The sequence below is a fragment of the Homo sapiens genome, chromosome 7 (assembly GCF_000001405.40).
Source record: "Homo sapiens chromosome 7, GRCh38.p14 Primary Assembly".
Lineage (NCBI taxonomy): Eukaryota > Metazoa > Chordata > Mammalia > Primates > Hominidae > Homo > Homo sapiens.
Genome location: NC_000007.14, coordinates 118,184,048 through 118,205,224, shown reverse-complemented (window position 1 = coordinate 118,205,224; position 21,177 = coordinate 118,184,048). Strand labels below are relative to the sequence as shown.

At 35.1% G+C, this 21,177-nt stretch overlaps 1 protein-coding gene across 1 annotated transcript, besides 2 other annotated features; it reads right to left on the bottom strand.

Moving 5' to 3' along the window:
• Window positions 1-1,189: 1,189 nt before the first annotated feature.
• On the bottom strand, window positions 1,190-21,061 carry LSM8 (LSM8 homolog, U6 small nuclear RNA associated). Its single transcript, NM_016200.5, has 4 exons — window positions 20,971-21,061; window positions 19,531-19,571; window positions 16,820-16,947; window positions 1,190-13,313 (listed from the first exon to the last, which is right to left on the bottom strand). The coding sequence occupies exons 1-4, from the start codon at window positions 20,999-21,001 to the stop codon at window positions 13,223-13,225; spliced, it is 291 nt and encodes a 96-aa protein (NP_057284.1). The 5' UTR covers window positions 21,002-21,061; the 3' UTR covers window positions 1,190-13,222.
• Window positions 9,138-9,197: an enhancer, noted in NCBI's record as "active region_26548". NCBI's record gives its function as "activates an Ori minimal core promoter by ATAC-STARR-seq in GM12878 lymphoblastoid cells {active_cell/tissue: GM12878}" and the evidence as "EXISTENCE:reporter gene assay evidence [ECO:0000049][PMID:35858748]".
• Window positions 14,152-14,367: a silencer, noted in NCBI's record as "fragment chr7:117830912-117831127 (GRCh37/hg19 assembly coordinates)". NCBI's record gives its function as "represses an EF-1alpha promoter that drives an FKBP-Casp9 reporter gene in an ReSE screen in K562 erythroleukemia cells {active_cell/tissue: K562}" and the evidence as "EXISTENCE:reporter gene assay evidence [ECO:0000049][PMID:32094911]".
• Window positions 21,062-21,177: the final 116 nt, after the last annotated feature.

Below are 21,177 nucleotides of genomic sequence, written 5' to 3'. Positions count from 1 at the left end.
GTAATATACAGAATGTGGAATTGATCTCAAATATGTCTGACCCCAAACCTGTACTCTTTGAATTAGATCACATAGCATAGATGAATATTATTGTTATTTGGCCCAATTTGATACTCATTATTCTTAATATTTTTCCAGAACATACCAAAACTAAGTTTAACAAATGAATAACTACTGTTCAGCTGTATAGGAAAATAAAGTATTTTAAATCTGTCAGTTGAGTTCTGTAATAATTTGAAATTTAAATTTTGTATCCTTTTTTTTAAATTTTAGATTCAGGGGATACATGTGCATGTTTATTACATGGGTATATTGTGTAAAGGTGGAGATGGGGTTTCTAGTGTACCCATCACTCATAGAGTGAACATTACCCAATAGGTAATTTTTCAACCCTGAGCCTCCTCTTATACTCCCCCCATTGTAGTCCCAGGTGTCTATTATTTCCATTTTTGTGTCCATGTGTACACATTGTTTAGCTCCCACTGATAAGTGAGAAAATGTGATAGTTGATTTTCTCTTTCCAAGTTAGTTCACTTAGGATAATGGGCTGTAGCTCCATCCATGTTGCTGCAAAGGACATGATTTAATTCTTTTTTATGGCTTCATAGTATTCCATTATATATATATATAATATTATATATTATATATATTTAAATATTTTATATATTATATATCATGGAATGTGTGTATATATATACACACACATTATATATACACTCTATATATACACTATATACAATGTGTAAACAGTAAATGTTATTGTGTATATATACAAAAATGTTACATATGTGTGTATGTGTGTGTATATGTATATGTATATATGAAATATTTCCTTTATCAAATCAACCACTCATGGACACTTAGGTTGGTTCTATGACTTTGCTACTGTGAATCGTGCAATGATAAGCATACACATGCAGGTGTCTTGTTTATAGTTTCATATGCTTTATTTTTTACTGTAGTAAATGAAAAATATAGCCCCATCAAACCAGAAAATTGAATCTTGCTTGAGGACAATAATTAAAATTCTTCTTAAATCATCAAAGTCCAGGGCTTCCTTCAAATGTAAACTTTTCTTTTTTAAAAAAGTGTGTCCTTGCTATTTTTACATACCATCCGTTATCCCCATAATTACATATCACCCTTAAAATATGGCAAGAATCTCAGAAAAAAACATGGACATTCTTAGTAGCCTCTGTAAAATAATTTATTTTTAGGTGTAATAATTAACAGCAATATATCTATAGTATTAAAATTTACAAATCATTGTTAGAACTGAGCAATTCATAGGTAACCAATAAGGGAGGAAAGGAATTAGAAAGCAACCAAGAAAAACAGCTGTAAGAATATGGAGATATTCTTCATATGCAATAAGGTGGCAAATTTATTCAAAAAAGCATGATAAATATAAAGGATGAGTATATTATAATATACATGTGCACATATTAAATGTTTGAAATCACAAATTATGATTTATTTTCTCAACTAAACTGTTACTATAGAATCATAAAAAGGAAGAGAATCTTGATGATTTTTCCATTAGAGTATACCATGTTAGATCTGGCAGATGACTTTTCACTTTTTATAGTGCTCCAAAAATTGGTACACTTCCCTTTGCCTTTTGGAGACATCACTGACTTTGATATTCAGAGTGGTAAAATCATGATATAAAAATTCTTGCCCATTGAAACTCAATTATCCTATTTACTTGATTTTTAGTCCCTTTCTTCATTTTCCTTATTTAGATATTAATCTCTACTAAACAACCATTACTCTATTTAAAAAATTTAAGTCTACAGCTTGAATAATCACAGCTCTATTAATATTGGATATTAGGACCTCCCCGCAATTTTTACTCCTATATGATATCAGAAATATTAGTATCTTCTTCAAGGGAAATGGGAAAATTATGTGAGTTTTAAAAGGGGTTTATATTTCTTTCTTAAATTAGTATTCAGAGTGCCCCATAATTCTGTTCTCATATAAGCATTTCTCCTGTACAATTTAAAATCTGTTTTTTGAGATTAATTTTTTAAATGAGTCTTCTTAGAACATCTTGCTTTGGAGTTTGGGAGTTAAATCCTTTCATTAAATGTTTAAAAAGAATATATATTCTGATGTCTTGGGATAGAACGTTCTATAAATGGCAGTTAGGTCAAGATGGATGAAAGTATTGTTCATGTCTTCTATATCCCTACTGATTTAAGGCTACAGTTTTTAAAGACTGATAGGGAGGGACTTGACGCCAGAATCCTGAAGGATAAAGTAAGGTAAAAAAGTGTGTAGAAAGACAGTATAGATCAGTGCTTCTCAAACTTTAATGTGCATATGACTCACCTGGGGAATTTATTAAAATTCATATTCTGCATTTTATATCAGAGATAAAAAAGAATTCTGTTTGGGCATAGAAGTTGTTTTCACCTGCCTCTGAGATACTTGCTTCTATACTAGCACAATGGCAGCATTGTTGGTTGTTCACCCCATCCCCATTCTTCTCTTTTTCCTAACAGCAACCCTTTTTTTATTTGGAGTGGCAAAATGTCACTATAAAAGGAAAAAAATCCCTCACCTTCCTAGCCTCCCTTGTAGTTAGGGTAACCATATGACAAAGATCTGGCCAATGGCATTCAAGCAGTATATTTTGCCAGTATAGTCTGCTGGTTATAGTTGGGAAAGCATTTATTTTTCCCATATGATAATCTCACTTTCCTATTTCATCTTTCTTTATTCTAATTAGATGGAAAATATGAGTCACGAGATGACAGGCAAATTATTAGAACAAAAGGATGGCAAAGAGAAAATAGTGGCCTGGGTACTGGGTCACTTCTTTGAGTAGGTGCCCCAGTCTGAACTGCCTTGCTTTTCACTTTTCTGTTCTTTTCTCTCGAGATAAATGAACTCCTCCTGCCTGTTAAAGCCACTGGCAGTCAGAGTTTCCAGTGCTTATAGCCAAATACCATTCTAACTGATGTACTCACCAATAATAATCGTAACTTCCTTTCATATGACACTTCATGGTTTCTTCATCAGCATTATGTGTGACACAAGCAAAAACAAAAACAAAAAAACTGCCAATGTATCTATTTCAAGACATCCCCAGAATTCTGTTATTAAATAGCATTGATGAGGCAGTCAGCCAGAATGTTTAAGCTGTCCTAAATTACTGCCTCCTCTGTGTTTAGGGAGTCTGCTCTTGGTCTTACAAGTCCAAAAGCAGAATATTACAAATTCACATAGAAGTGATCAGGATCTAGAGACTTGATTTATGCCATGCAGATTCACAGGGCATTTGTTTATAAAATTTGTGCTGGAAGATTACTTGTGAACTAGGGCCAAACCCTTAATTATGACTAGGGAAACCCAGAAGATAAAGTTGCATTAAAAGCCTGCTTGATGGAAACAGAAACATACAAAAGATGGCCTTACAGGGAAAAAGTTAAAGTGTTACCACAAATGTATACATGAAATGACCAATAATTTTATTTTATATTTCAAATAACTAGAATTGTACAGAGTTTAATTTTACAGCTTTAGGGCAAGGATAAACTCATTTTTATTTTTGCAGTAAAAGGTATAAATATTGAAAATTATGTAGGTTTAAAACTTTACTATGATATAGACACATTCTCAAATTAATGAATTTTACTGAGCTTTTTATATCAAACTTACTGATATTTAATGCAAAATAATAAATATTGAGATTCTTGGTTGTACATTATAAAATGCATCACAGAGCGATTTATTGATGCAAAGGAACCGTTTTGGCTCATGTAAGTGAAAAGTCTAGGAGTCACATCTTTAGGCATCGCTGGATCCAGGTGCTGAAATGATGTCATCAGGCCCAAAATGTCTCTTTATTGCTTGATTCTGCTTTCCTGAGTTGGTATCAACTAGGAGACTCTCTCTACATGCTCCATGGCAGCTCCAGGCTCACACATACTTAGTATTAAGATTTTCTCCTCTTCTTTAATATAAAGGAAATTCAGCTAGATGATCTTTAGTTCAAAATTCTGTGATATATAAATAACTCGAAATAACTGCTAACAGTTAATGAAACATCTGATTCAGTAAAGATAATGGTTATTTACAATTGAGTATTGCATATTAAAAAGTTCATTAAAGGTTTATTTTTATAGTTATTTCAAATTTGCCTTTTGCATTTTTAGTAACTATGAGTGATACAAGCAAAACTACAACCTAGCACAAGTTGAAGTATCACAAATTTCAAGTCAATTGCTACCAAATTAGATTTTAATATAATTTAGATACTAATATTAGTGTATATGTGAAAAGTGTTTGCTAATGGGAAATTTAGCCCATTAATTGTCAATCAACAGTCAAGATTTAGAAACCTCCTTTTTTACAAGAAACAAGTAGAAACTGGGATGGGAGAATAACATTAGCAATTGCAAACCTCAGTTCGTTCCATTAAAATGTTGATTGCCTTGGGAATAGATGCTGTCACAGGAGAAAAAAGTGTAAATTCAAACACTTAAGGAATAAACTCTTATAAAGTACAATGTGATTTATCAATTAATTAAATTTGAATTCCATGGAATGAAATATAAGTCAACAAGTATGACAGTTTGCTTGTTTATTATGGAAGAATCATTAATAATTTGATAATTAAATGGTCCTGAATGGTTAGCCATGTTCTCCGCATTTAAATAAATAGTATAAACATAAATGAAAATATTAAAGTAATTTCAACGTGATAGAGACCACTTATTTTTAGTTCAGGTAGAGTTCCAACCTAATGGTAATTAAGATTCCAGATCCGAAAGATGTCATGTGAATATTGCTCTGAAAAACCAAAATTAAAGCTTTCTTAAAGATGCTGTGTAGGGCTGAGAGGTTTTTCACTTGTACCAGTGAGAGCTGCATCATTAATAGTCTTCAAATTCAGCAAGTTCTGCCTCTAGAGAGCACCAGAGCAGCTACTTATGATTTGTTTCATGACTCTGAAACTATTACTCCCTCCAATGGCTCTACAAAGCCAATATAATGTGCACTTGGATACCTAGTCCCTCATGGCTACTGCACAATGCTTAGGTTGTTTATATTTGGAAGTCAGAAAAACATGTTGCTTGAAAGGCATTAAGATGCATGGGGTCACTTAAAGCTATTGACTATATTTTCATTCTCTGTTGGCACTTAGGGAAGGCATTTCCAGATAAATGTCTTCGGTATGGCTAGTCATTAGTTCTCTAATCTGTAATTTAGACACTGCTGTCAAACTAAAACATCCAGTCCTTTGTTAAGCTCTGTTTTTTATCACTTGCCCTAAGCTATGAGCAAAATGCCTACATTGACAATAACACATTTATTAAATTGCTATATCAACGTATTCACCACTCAGTCCAGCCTAGTGTTGCTATTAAACTTTAGATGTCTCTCCTATGGGCTCTCATATCACCCAATACATATCTTCACCATGTCAGTATTTACTTGCTGGGGAGGTGGCCTTACCCTACACTTGAATTTCTCAAAGCCTGTCTTAAAGACTAGTATCTTTTAAGTCTTTGGTTACATCTAAGTTCCCAGCACTTAGCAGTGTCTGGCATTTGGTAACTCTCATTGTTGAACAGATTGTTGCAAAGTTACTTGTTTTCCTTCCATGGCACCAACCTTAAAGGTTAGAATCACCATTCCAAAATTTCCTTTCCATAAATTTATGTACATCTTTTGAAACTCTGTACTTCCAGCCTTTATCATATCTGAAAATCTGACATGAAAATGTGTCAGCTCAGTTTAATTACTGCAATAGCTTCCTAACTTGAAACAATTTGCCTCCAGTTTCTCCTTCAGGTTACCAATTCTGTTCAATGCATCCAAATTCATGTTCCCTTAAACGTCTTAGATTTTTAATCCCCTAAAATCAACTTGCTGCTCTAAGAATAAAGTATTAACTTTGCACTAGTATTGAAGGCCATCTCTTCCCTTCTCACTAATTTTCAATGAAAATTTTATTTAGATAGTGAGTTGGGGGTCCCCAAGATCATACTGAGGTTCATTGATACACTTGGAATCATAGGACTCAGAAAAGCTGCTATGCTCCCAGTTGCAGATTATAGTGAGAGGATATAGATTAAAATCAGTAAATGGAAAAGGTGTGCAGGGTGAAAATCAGGAGAAACCAGGCACAAACTTCAAGATGTCCTCTCCCAGTGGAGCTGCACAGACAGCACCTAGTTCAGCAACGGTGTTTACCAACACATGCAAAGTATTGCTAATAAGCTCTCTTGAGCCTTGGTGTTCAGGGTTTTTATGAGGGTTCAGTCACATAAATATTCAGTTCCCTCATAACTGACCTTAGCTCCTGAATCTCGTTTCCCAGAGCTTAAACTGTAACAGCAAGGCCTATGGTCTCAGGCATACAAAAGCACTCTTAACAGGTAAGACATCCCAAGGACTCAAGAGATTTTCTTCCAGGAACTGGTGAAGGACAGGTCCTTTCTTTGCAATAAAAAGGATTTGAGCCTTTACTGTACAGAGAGGTCAGTCTACTCCTTATTACTCAACCACATCTTACTCCTTCTTGCCTTCCTGTCTGCCAATTTGAAGTTTTCCTAACCATCTATGGAAATCCTTACTATCCTTAGGGTCAAGCACAAGTCATCCATTTCCATGAAGATTCTCCTCCAATCTCTCCCATATTGCTATGCATAGAGGAAAATGCATCTTTGCCATGCATGGGAAGCTTTTATATATTGCCTTCAAACACCAGTTTACCGGGCATGTCATCTCTGTTACTGTCATGCAGTAAATACTCAGGAAATGAAGGATTACTAATGAGTTGTTAAGGTTTATTCTTCTTTCTTTAATGTAGAATTTCATTTGACCTAAAATTATCCTTCCAATCTTCATAGAATATTTGGTTTTAATATACAAAATTAAATATGCAAGCTCTTATCCATTCTTCATTTCAGATCTCTGGCATATTCTCATTTCTCATTTATCTTTTCACACCAAAGAAATCTAACCTTTTTATAACTTAATCACTTTGACTCTGGTTGCTCCTTTCTGTACTTTCTCTGCCTCGTGTTACTTTTAAAAATTTGATCAAATTTTTAATTTTAAAATATGTGATTAAAAACATCACATTACCTTTGCACCAGGGAAGCATACTTTCATTTACAATAAATTTCCAGTCCTGTCCAGAATTTTCATAGTTTTTCTTTTCACCAAAATTATCAGGGAATGCTATCAATTACTTCTTAGTACTTTTCCTAGGCCACAATAAATAATTTGGAGTCCATCATTCAATATCAGGATAATTGTTAGCTATCATTAATATTGACAAATTAGTATGTTCTAGGGAGTGCTAACTGCTTATCTTAATCTTGACAGTACAAGGAAGCAGGTACTCATTTTCATAGCAACTAAGACATGGTAAGATTAATATGCTAAGCTCTGCAAACTAAGTATGACTCCAGAGTCTGTGCCTTTCACTGCCATGCTACACTGGACTAGCCCAAGACCCTAATCAACAATTTCCTTTTAAAAATCATACCTCCTATGAGTGTGAATTGAAGTGTCTCTGTAATTAGCAGAATCACAATTAAAATAAAGCTTATCCAAGTCAGATTCAGAGAGCTATTTTTTAAAATAAAAATTTAAATTTTAAAATAAAAAATTTAACTTTTAACTATCATTGTGATCACTTTCAGGGCATTTATTTTAAAATGTGAAATAAGCCATAGTGCAGCATTTTCTGGCAACTTGTATCAGTTAATGAGTTTTCTAGAGTATGATTTATTATAATCATTTTGTTGATATGAGATGAAACATGATAGCTTGTGCATATTTTCATATATCAAACAGAAACATATTAGTTTCCTGCCTGTTCCCCACCCCAACACACACTAGTTTTTAATACAAGACACAATGTATTGTGTCCCTGGAGTTGTCTCCCCACCCACCCTGACTCCTGGATTCTTTTTAACGTATTTCAAATGTAATAACAATTTGGTACCATACTAATTATATGGCATTTGTAAAGCCAGTATATGTGGAAAAAAAAAAAAAACCTACATAATAGCAAAATATATGCAGTGTAATTGAACATTACCCTAAAGAGAAGAGAGAAAGCGTATCATATCCTTGTAGGGACATTGATGGGAATTTGATACCAGTTGTAGCAATGCTTGATCTGTGCCATTTCTAACAAGTAATACTCTGTAAAATAAAAGGACTTAGGCTGGGCGTGGTGGTTCATGCCTGTAATTCCAGCACTTTGGGACGCCGAAGTGGGCAGATCACGAGGTCAGGAGATCAAGACCATCCTGGCCAACATGGTGAAACCCCGTCTCTACTAAAACAAAAAAATTAGCCAGGTGTGGTGGCGCGTGCCTGTAGTCCCAGCTACTCGGGAGGCTAAGGCAGGGGAATCGCTTGAACCCAGGATGCGGAGGTTGTAGTGAGCCAAGATTGCACCACTGCACTCCAGCCTGGCGAAAGAGCAAGAAGTGTCTCAAAAATAAATAAATAAATAAATAAATAAATAAATAAATAAATAAATAAAAATTAAAGGACTTAAAAAAAAAGAAACATTAAAAAAAGAAGGAAATGAAAAGGCATAACAAAAAACTAACACAAAAATTGAGTTAAAAAAAAACTTAATGCCAAAACCAAGAAGAGGTCGGAAAGGTATCTGGAAGAACAATTCTCAGCTCCTTCATTCCCCAGATGATGCCAGTAAGTAGGAGATGGCATACTGTTAACTAATGAAAGAAATTCTCCTGGTGAAGTCCTATTTCGCCTTTATCCTTAGAATTATGCAACCTACAGACTTAGCAATCTTAAAAGAAAAAAAATAGATGGGGAAAATAATTGACTTGAATTATATTTATTTTAAAAAGACTGTTTCTAGTTGTTTTGAATGAATCCAGAACCCATAAATTATATCCCAGAATACTGAAAGAATCTGATGAAATAACACGACCTTCGACAGTAAATCTGAGTCAAGATGATTTGGTTGAGGTAGATACAGACAGATAGAAGCTTCACAAGCACAAGAATACTGTTCCCTGGCCTATCCACAGCTTTGAGCATACTGCCTGGCATGTATTAATGGCTTGATAAGTGTCCCTGACAAAATTCCAAAATCTATTTTTTTGAAGTTTGTGGACAGGTAGAAAAGAAAGCAATGGCCACTAGGAGGCAGCATCGATTTATGAAGACTAAGCACGTCTCATGGTTTCCCACTATACAGAGGAATGAAGATCACATCAAAGCATCTGACCAAATCTCACATCAATAATCCCTATAAACAGGATGGAGCATAAGTACTAGATATCTCACAATTAAATGAATTTGTCGCTAGTTTAATGGGAGCACTATGCTATTTAATGGGTATCAATCTAAATGGAGATAGCTTTACCTTATCAACATTTTTTTCAGTATTACATGTAGACAGAAAGGAATTTTTATCAAATTTGCCCATGACTTAAAACTGAGATTCACAGCCCAAGTTTTTTTAAACCCAAAATAAGTAAAATTTAATTTAATAAAATTAAATCTATATGAGGTAATGACTATACAAGTACAGAATGGAGAGGTTCCTCTTTACATGTGAAAGACCTTTGAGTTTACACTTTCAAACTCCTTGAGTCAAGAATATTCGCTGACATAGAAACAAATTTTATTGTACATTTCTTAATACTGTAAACTTACACGTACTTCCCACATAACCTCAATTCCTCATCTATTCTCTTGTAGAGATATGGTAGTCAGTGGGACAGACGCTTAAAAAGCTGACAAGACCTATATTTTTAACTTTTATACATTGGCCTTTGACTACCTGGAATAGTATTAAATAGCTGTTTACGGTTATGTCCTCAAAATCATACCAAATGTTTAAAATGCAGTCTAATGCTACTTTTTACAACCCAAGAAGATAGCTGTTATTATCCTTATCTTGAATAAGATCCTGTGTTTGAAATCAATTCTGTGGGGTTAGAGACTCATCCCAGCAGGTAAGTGCTAGGTCTTTTAATAATTCCACCACTTTCCTTCGCTGTTTAGTGACTATTCCTTTTTGCTCCATTACACAGCTGCTGAACCACAACGAGTAGGGCCCAAGAAAATTTTTAAAGCACCTTAGGTAATTGTAATGAAAACGGCCCACAATGCAGGTTTGGGAACTGCGTTAGATCATCTGAATATTTCTCATCAGGCTTCTGATAGATGCTTGATAGCAGATTTTAAGACTATACTTTCTGATAACAGGCAGTATTGTATAAAAAGCTGAAAGACCTAGTTGAATTTGAGCACTGTTACTTACTAGTGCTACCTCTTACAAGTCACTTGACCCTGCTGAGCCTCAATTTTCCCATATATAAAATGATCATTGTAAGCACTCAGCACCAGGCCTGGCACATGATATGCACTCAATAAATACTACCTACTAATTTTGAAGATGAAGGCCCAGAATATACTAACTATATTGTCAGTTAAGAGTTGCCTTACAACCCTGGCTACTAAATTGTCTGGTTCACATGCCATTACAAAGGGCCTTTACTTTCTCATTCCCATGATGAATCTCAGGTTACACGGCTGAGGAAAATGTTGACATCGTTATTCTGTATTTGCATTAAATACCATTTAAAAGTTGTTTTTATCATACTTATATCTCACATTATTACCTTAAAAATTCCGAAGGATGTTATAAAGTTGTTAAACAGGATGTTTAAGCAAATATTAGTAAAACTTTCTCTCTTGCTCTTCTGGGATCAAGATTTGTAATATTTAGCCAAAACTGTCAGCATGTGAGGCCAAGTTACCAAAGTGCTTTGACATAAAAGCAATGTTATTTTAAACTATTAGTTTAGATAGTATCTTGTCAGTTAAAAAAAAAAAAGTCCCTTTTGCAGTTAATTGCCCTTTCCAAATAACTTTAATGAAAATATCTTGCCAAGAAACATCTCTTTGATTCATTAAGCTGGGTTTAGATTGTGCCTGAGTCACAAAGCACAGAGGTAATTACAGGTTGAAATTGATTTGCGCCTCTTTATAAATAAGAACTGATTATAGAATAAATGTCTCATTAAATATAAAATATTGACACTGTATATTAATTATGTTACTACTCATGGTTGTGGCTCCCTTACAATTCTCATGCAAAAATAAATCCAATTTTAATCGGTTGTGAGAAAACAGTCCACCATGTGCTTGTATCCAGGAATAAAGAATTACATAGATTATCTGGCATATTGTCATCACATCCTCTGTAACTATTCATAAAAACAATAATTCACATTTTGGGAATGCTTTTTCCAACATCAATCAGGAAAATACAGCTTTATAAGGTGTTTCAGATTGCAAGAATACATCACATTAGAAACCCATTATCATGAGGGACAGGACTGGTTTTTATTTGTTTATGTGTAATGTGTTGATATGCCAAGTATTTTGAGAAAAGATCTGACTCTGGACTTCATTTGTACTGTTAGAATGCATTTTTCTTAGCAACTGAACAATGTGTATTCTTATTTAATTTTTGGAATTACTTTACCAATTCAAAATGCCATATACTACAATATTTCATTCACAGTCCCTAAATTTGCCTGTTTGCCTTACCCACTTTCCATCATTTTATTAATAAATTGATTATAAAACATTATACTACAAGTCAAGTACTTATGAATAGCCAATACTAGCTAACTTCTCTAATTCTCCCAGAGACAGCCCTTAACATCAACCAAATAATTCTAGAGAATAGTGCTTCTCCCCTTATAAGGCTGATTTGAGTGAAGATATTTTCCTCCCCCAAAAAGCTATTATGTTTAATAAGTATGAAGTTTAAAATATTTTAAAATATGAATGAAACCCACCTCTAAACTCTCTATAAGGATCTATTCCAGAATTTATACAAATTGTTCATTTTTTCTTATTGAACTTGTATTAAGCCAAGGGTCAGCAACTATGCCTTCAAGCCCAATCCAACCCCCACCTCCATTTTTATAAATGAAGTTTTACTGGAAGACAGCCACTATTCATTTATGTATTATCTATGGTTATTTGTAGGCCACAATAGCAGAGGTGAGTAGCTGTGACAGACCACATGGCCTTCAAAGCCTAAAAGACTATCTGGATCTTCATAGAAAAAGCTTGCCAACTACTATTTTTAAGCACTTTCATAAAAACAAAACAAATAAACTATTTAAATTTGTTTCAATTACAAGGATGTAAATATTTTTCTATGTTCTTCTCATCACAAAGACACACACTTGGGCCTATACATGAGTTGATCAGAAATTTTATGGACTAGCCTGAATATCTAAACACTACTTACATTGTTTCTTTCAATTATTTAAAAAACTGAGTTGACGTCTTCTGAAATCAGGTTTATGGATAATGAATCATGGAAAATTGCTGACAATAATAGCTAGCACTACTTCAATACAAACTTAGAGTTTATTTACTCACATTTATAAACTAACTTTAACATTAGAAATTCTCCAATTCTTAAAAATTAAAAATTGAAGACTACATGGAATCAATTTTTTTCAAATATACTGTCTGTAAAATTCAACATTAATGTGTTCATATTACTTTCATACCTAACCAATTGGGCATCAAGAGACTTTACTAATCATCTCTGTCAATTCTACCATTCCTAGTCATTCTTAATATTCAAGTTAGAATTTTGGGCCAATCTATCAAAACCTTGTTAGCATTTTTGCTTTTCTCAAGCAAACACATTTTTACCTACCCACACCTCTCAGTGCTAGGGAGCAACTTTTAGAAGCACTAGCAAACTACCACCAGTGGAATCGGATAAATGCCAATGATTCAGATAACTCCAGCAAAGATTTACCCTCCTGTGATTTTCCTAAACATCAGGGAAAGAAAACACATATATCCTGTATTACTGTTACTTGAATGCCTGATTTATATAGCACACTAATTTCTCTTTTCCACTAGTTTCCATAAATACTAAAGTATCAAAAAGTACTACTTTTTTCTAAAAGTTTTCAAAATGCCCATTATATTTTCACACTATTTAATAAAAAAAAGAAACCAAGCTACCAAACTTATATTTAGGCAAAAAAAAAGGTTTTTTTTTCAATAAAATGTAGAAATATTTTAATTTACATATTACAATGAATCAATAAGGAGTCAAAATCCAGTGACACACTCATAAAAACTCCATATATCATCCTCAGAATAATCAGTTTCTGTACAAAGATTTACAGATGTCCAAGTATGTAGTTTTTCCTCAGTGTGCTACAGAATTTAAAGGTTCTGCTCGAATATTCCCCAAATCAAGCGCAGAATCTGTTTCTTCATCGATTTCTCCAATGACTGCACTAAAAAAGTCAGAGTTAAAACAATCACATTTCTGAAATAAATTACATGTGTTTCAAAAATCTTACTAATCAAATCAAAGCACTGAGTACCATTCTTCCAAAAAATAAAACTGAGAGAGCACAGTAAAAAGAATTAAGGTAAAAAGCAAACAACATTGGCGTGAGTCAGTGAACTGCATATTTAAGTCACAAAACTCAAGAAATAATTTGAAGGCACATTATTACAGGAACCAATATTAAAGGACACATTGTACACAGTGATTGTATCATGAATCTTTAAAGGAAACAGACACACAAGGATAGACACAGTAAAAAACCCTCAAACTTCCAAACCATATTTCAATTCAATTCTAGGACTGTATTAAAAATAAATTTCACAAAATCACTCCTAAAATAATTAGCAAGTAAAAATATCAATCATTTGAGTAACTTTGATGAATTAAATCAATGATATAGACAACAGCGATTAGATTGTTTTCCTAAGTTTTCAGTTAAATCCAAAGCCAGTTCTTCATATACAAAAATAATAGTAGGAACAAGTACTTTGGTATCTAACAAATCATTTTTGACGTGATTGGCTCAGGTTAAAAGCTAGAAAATTTTTTCTTGTTCAACACTAACATAGTATCTATAACTTTAAATTCATTAATACCACGCTAGATAACCAACCCATAGCCCTCTAACTGGAAATATTCAATGTTATCACTCAGACCACAAGATGTCTATGAAATATTATTTTTAAAAAGTATTGGTTGGGTTTACATTTGTTTGGTTTTAATGAGAGTAAATTCTTTTTTTTTTTTTTTGAGATAGAGTTTCGCTCTTGTTGCACAGGCTGGAGTGCAGTGGCACGATCTTGACTCACTCCAACCTCTACTTACCAGGTTCAAGCGATTCTCATGCTTCAGCCTCCCGAGTAGCTGGGATTACAGGCGCATGCCACCACACCCGGCTAATTTTTGTATTTTTAGTAGAGACAGGGTTTCACCACGTTGGCTAGGCAGGTCTCGAACCTCTGACCTCTGGTAATTCGCCAGCCTCAGCCTCCCAAAGTGCTGGGACTACAGGTGTGAGCCACTGTGCCCGGCCAAATTCTAAAGACGAATACTAGTAATAAGGGATTTGCCAAATTTTGCTTTAAAGTATATAAAGTCTTAAATCATCTAATAAATGAAAAATATGAAACTCTGGCAGAATGAATTAAGTTTTCTCAAACTAAAGGCCTCAATTCCACTCTTAAATATTCTTAAATTTTAAATGATAATATTCAGTATCATTTAAAATCCCTATGGTAAGCAGGGAAATGCTGATACATTTTTAAAAACCAGCTCTCTGGAAAAAAAGCGGGAGACTGATTTGCTGCATTTACTAATATCCATTGTGCAAACACTCCCACCACGGCCAATTTCAAGCTACTAACAAGACATCAATTAACCAGCTTGTAAAATTCCTTAAAATATAACAATATGCTTTCATGGGCCAGTAGAAGCTGGCTCTAGCACAAGACTTTTTTCACTGAAGTTCAAGAAAAAAAAATTGTTTTAAGTAGGAGAAACCTTAAAATCAATTACTATGCACAGCTCCAATATAAACAGTGTTGTTCTGATCCAGAGACCTGGGCCCTATCTGCTCTGTCTCTCTCTCATTACTTACAGCTCACCTTGTAACTCCACCTAAAAGTCATCTCTAAAATATTTTATAAACTCTTGATTTTTGATTACAGATCAAATTATTTATTCATCTAAAGGTGATGCTAACATAAACAACTTAAATGAGTAAATTATTCCTGCACTTTTTAAGTTATTCCAGGGGACAGTTAGTCCCCTAGAATTTGTTAAATGTTCTAGCTTAAAATTGCTAATGTATCTTTTGCTTCTTTCCAACTATATTTTGATTCAGTGTAGTACTCACTAGAAAACTGATTTGGCATTCTTCTAGCCTCTATAACTATACTAATACTGGCCACATGTAACTATTAAAATTAATTACAATTAAATAAAATTTAAAATTCAGTTCCTCTGTCACATCAGCCACTTTTCTTTTTTTTTTCAAGATGGAGTTTCACTCTTTTTGCCCAGGCTGGAGTGCAAAGGCGCAACCTTGGCTCACTGCAACCTCCATCTACCAGGTTCAAGAAATTCTTCTGCCTCAGCCTCCCAAGTAGCTGGGATTACAGGCATGCACCACCACACCAGGCTAATTTTTCTATTTTAAGGAGAGACGGGGTTTCACTATGCTGGCCAGGCTGGTCTTGAACTCCTGGGCTCAGGTGATCCACCCACCTTGGCCTCTCAAAGTGCTGAGATTATAGGCATGAGCCACGGCACGTGAACCACATTAGCCACTTTTCTTTTTTATTTTTTGACACGGAGTTTTGCTCTTGTTGCCCAGGCTGGAATGCAGTGCTGCGATCTCGGCTCACTGCAACTTCCACCTCCCAGGCGAATTCTCCTGACTCAGCCTCCCGAGTAGCTGGGATTACAGGCTTGCGCCACCACGCCTGGCTAATTTTTATATTTTTAGTAAAGACGCGGTTTCACCACATTGGCCAAGTTGGTCTCGAACTCCTGACCTCAAGTGATCCACCCGCCTCCACCTCCCAAAGTGCTGGGATTACATGCTTGAACCACTGTGCCCGGCCTTTTTTTTTTTGAATTGGTGTCTCAATCTGTCACCCAGGCTGGAGTGCAGTAGGGTGATCTCGGCTCACTGCAACCTCTACCTCCTGGGTTCAAGTGATTCTCCCACCTCAGCCTCCCAAGTAGCTGGAACTACAGGCGCACGCCACCAAGCCTGGCTAATTTTTGTATTTTTAGTAGAGACAGTGTTTTGCCATGTTGGCGAGGCCGGTCTTGAACTCCTGACCTGATCCACTTGCCTCAGACTCCCAAAGTGCTGGGATTACAGGCACCATGCCTGGCCAATTACTCTTGAACTTTTATATCTGTCTGTCCCAAGTAAACTGAGGCCACAGGGACATCTTAAGTGTGTCAATGATACTAAAAAATTAAAAGAAAATGAATAACGAGTAAGTACTTATTTATAAATACACCTATGTTATTGAGCATGAATTAATATTGTTCAAATCAGAGATTTCAAAACATTTTTCAAACTTTGGCCTTGGACTCTAGAAATATGTTCCTCTAAAATTCTGGGTATTTGAAAGAACGTTTTAAGAAGTCTCTCTAATGAAGTATTTAATATAAGGCAGAGCCCTTTCTGGACTCTACCCAGGCTACTTAACTAGTAGAAAAATGGGCAAATCTCAGGTAAAAGTTTAATTTGTAGAGAGACAGCTTTGGTTGAAACCTAAAGAAGTGCTGACATAAAATGTATACATATGCCTTATTTTACACAAACATAAGAAAAGGTATATTTACGAAAGAAATGAATGCAAGATTCTATTAACTATGTATGGACAATACAGTAGGGTATTTTGGGGAAAGCCTCTTCTCCATAAAGTAAGGCAGTATCATTTATAATTTTAACAGATATATTTTACTTACACGTTGTCACCTCTTACAATGTATAATCCTAGTACCACTTGTTCTACCCCCTGTGAAGAGCTGAATACTCGTTCATGGCTTTCATCCAAAATCAAATTAATGGTCTGGTCAAAACCTTTCAGTGTTCCCTGTAAAGAAAATATTCAGGAGAAAAAGAGAAATATTCTGGTTTACCTGAAAGTGTAAATTTAACCTCACAGTCATTTTAGTTGCCAGGTATTCCAATACAAGTACCTATACGACGGCAAATAAAATGCCTTTTTTATAACCAACAGTATTCGAGGGTACACAATTTACCTCTTGGTTATTTGGCTGGGGTGGGGGGACCTGCACCACACATCTCACTCATATGTAGAGTTGACAGCAGTTGCAAAGGACACCTATGTACTAATGTGACTATCTCCAAGTAAGTAGCATAAAAGCTTATGTAGACCAGCAGCTAAAGGTATAAACTAAGACAAAGGATATTTAAGGGAAAATGATAGCCAAATATACATAAATAAGGAAGAACCATACATACCAACTACAGCAATGTAATAGTATCACTATATGCTATATGCCAGCACTAGGCAGTGTGCTAAACACACTGTACACATTTTCTCAACTCATCTCTACCCTTTGATTTAGTACTATAATTAGCCCCATTTCAAAGAAGAAACTGAGGCACAGAATGGTGTGTCTTATGATCACATGGGTAGTAAGTGGCAGAGCCAGGAGATGAACCACAAAAGGCTAGCTCCTGAGCCAGACCACTAAACCATAACATTCTATACTATTATACACAAGTAAATATAATTTGCCATTTTTCAGATTCAAATCAGTCCCATAAATATACTAAAAATTTAACTAGTAGTTACATGTAACACCTAATGAGTACATACTAGTTACCAGTGTTCTGTGTGTCTCACATGTATTGTTTAATGTGTATCATATGGATTTATTGTTTAATTCTCCCAGTAAGGTAGATACAAATGTGACTATACTAATTAAAACCAGAACTTGAAGGAAATAATCAGGGAGAGTTTTATGAAAGCTTAGTATTGAATAAAAGAAGACATGGGTCTAGCATAACAGAGTAACTCACATGGTATTCAAGTTTCTGAAGAAATATCAACTAACATTGGTTTTGATGGTTAAACCTCTCAAGTTCTTAAACTGTTTTATCTTCTGAAAGTCAAAATATATAAAATGAGAATGAAATAAAAAAGAGAATGAAATAAAATGAGAATGAAATCTGTAACTTGGAAGAGAAACAAAATATGGAGTATTTATTGAACTAGTTAGCAAATGGTTGTTATCATAAACATCCATTCATAACTTCTTGACTTCATTTTACACATTATCCCATCAAATAAATTATGTGTCAAAGAAATACAGAACTACTGAACTTTAGAACTTAAGATGCTTTTTATATCACTTTCATTCTTCTTTAAAATTAAAAATAATTTCTCAGTTTATTATCTACCCTGTCAACAAAAATAAGAAAATTTAAACTTAAGGTTTTCACCAAATTAAAAAAAAATGCAAATATCTATTAACAGCAATAGGCTTCCTGAAGTGTTGAAATTAAAATATGTCAAACTGTCCATATTTGAAAAAATACAATGTGAGGTGCCTAAGCAAACATCATTGCTTCCTTAAGAAAGAAGCCAGGCAACTGGCCTTGGCTTTGATGTCAAACCAAATTTAAATCCCAGTTTGGTTCTGTCACTTGCTACCCTTGTGACTCTGAGAAAGTGAGTCACCTTCTCTGAACTTGTTTCCTAATCTAGAATACAGGGGTACTTATTCTTCATAAGTTTTTACTGTACATTAAATAATGTAACATATATGCACCTGGCACATGATATAAATTTAGTAAAGGACAAAGCTAGAACTTTGACTAATAATAGTCACTAAGGACCCAGTGAAAAAAAATCACAAGGCTTAAAAAGAAAATGAACAAAAGCAAAACTGAAGAATGGAAAAATAAGGGATCAAATTATTTAAAGAAACTAGGTAAGGTTAGAAAATAGAGAAAGTTCAGTAGCCTTAAAATTCTTTTGAAAGCATTCAAAGTATGAATTGTAAGTGAAGAAATAACCAAGTACCCAAAAATCTTGAGATGAATTCCTCAGATCAAATTCCAAATACAAGTATCACTATAGGAACGTTTTATCTTAGTTATATGACATAAATTAGCAAGGGAGAAACAACTTCAAGGAACAAGCCAATTTTACATATATATGTGTATATATAGAGAGTCAATCATCATAATGTGTCCTACAGAAGACATGTCACACAACCTAAAAACAAAGAATATTAAGATTGTATACAAGCCTTAAATGTTATCTAGATATTAATAGTATCTAAATCATTAAAAAGTTACTAAGCATATGCAAAATTTCAAAAAAATTCTGATTCATGTGGTGCTGAATGGGGAAGGAAATAAAAATGGAAGAAGAAAAGTAAGTTTAATAAAGGTCTACAGACTAGGAGCTCTCTGAGGGCAGAATCTATTATTCTAGCTCCGAGAAACCTTGTAGGTAACACACAATGTTTATTAGTGAGGAAAACATGGATTGACAGCAAAGTGATAAAGAGCTGAATTATAATAAAATTGCACTACGGGTGTAATGTGCTGTCTAGGCATTAGAGATTAGAGGTTTCACATAAAACTTGCAACCAATAAACCTACAGGAAAGCAGAGAATGAAAATTCCAAAGACTTACCACAATCATTCTCCCATCTGATGTAATAACGGCAACAGTTCCTGATAACTGAATCAAAGAAAGTGTTTCTTAGGGAATGCAAATTGAAAACAGACTCTGGCAAGGGAATGATTTGAATTTTTAGAATAAATATGACAACTAGGTATAAGTATTCAACACAGCCACTAAGTTCACTACATAAAAACGTTAAAAGTTTCTTAGACGCCAAGGCAGGAGGATCACTTGAGGTGAGACCAGCTTGGGCAACACAGCGATACCCCCATCTCTATTACCCTGGCCTGGTGACCTATAGTCCCAGCTACTCAGGAGGCAGAGGCAGAGGCAGGAGGATTGCTTGGGCTCAGGAGTTCAAGGTTGCATTGAGCCATGATCAAGCCACTGCACTCCAGCCTGGGCAACAGAGTGAGACCCTCGACTCAAAAAAAGAAAAAAAAAAAAAAACTTAAAAAAAGCTTCTGTTTTTGTCTTTGTGATAATTACATGATTAAAAAAGGGAAAAAATAGAAAAAGAAAACCTCTTTCTGTATGTGATCGGTGTATCTTATCTCAAAATATCCTGGATTTTTGACACTTTTCTACTAGGAAGGTTACCAATCTATTATTTCAGGCAGGATATTTCGTTTCTTAGGCCTGTTTATTTCTAAAATGAAAAGTGGATGAGTACTAAATTAATCGATGTTGGACGATTTTCCAGCATGTTAAAAAACTGTCTTCCAGGACAGGCTTCTGTAATTCAAAAGTAAAGAAACTATATAAGCAGTGTCACAGGGTACCAATAACGCATCATTAAAAGCATTCGGTATTTAATTTTTGTCACCCAGTTTGTACCTGAGCTTAACGTAGTGTTTTTGTCCTAAGACTTTAAAACGGTAACACTTGTAAAGTCTATTTTAAGACTTCCCATGGGGTTGTTACTTGCTCCTCACTATAATCCATTACAACAGCAACCATTTTTTTTCATTCTACCAACAAGTTGGGACTTCAAGTGGTAAAGGGACAGAAACAGTCTGTGAACCATCGTTAAACTTTTTGCTATCCTCGAACGAGCAAATTATGTGAATAAAACAAGTACAAAGATTTGCAAAACTGTTGTCGCCGCCAGGACGACTGTTCATCTTATTCACAAACTTTAACACTTATGCCATAGGGAAATAGTAAGTAAGAATCAAGAGCGTACATTTTTTTTAAGACAGAAAAGTTCGGAATAATCACACTGGGTTTTTATTTGGGTTTTGCAGGCAAAATGGAAAGGACCCCTGGGCCCGCAGCAGCGGGAAGGCTCGAGGCGCCGCCGGCGAACTCTGGGTCGTTCCGGGGCCCTCATCTCCTCGCCCGCCCCCAGGATCCCGCCGAGGCCAGGCCTCCCAACCTCCCACCGATCCCCGACCGCGGCCTCTCCGCGACCCCGGCTCACGCCCGCGGCGGCCAGCTTGAGGATACGGTTGATGTAGTTCTCCAAAGCGGACGTCATGCTGTTCGGCCCGGCGGTTCCGGGTAACGCAGCGGTGCCGACAGCAAGCAGAACTGAAAGGGCGCGCCAGAACCCGGCAGCGGATAGCGCCTGCGGGTCGCAGCAAATATCGTGAGAGTTGCTGCTCCGCAGCCCTGTGAGTCGGAAATTGGGACGAACTGGCCAACCAAACAGAA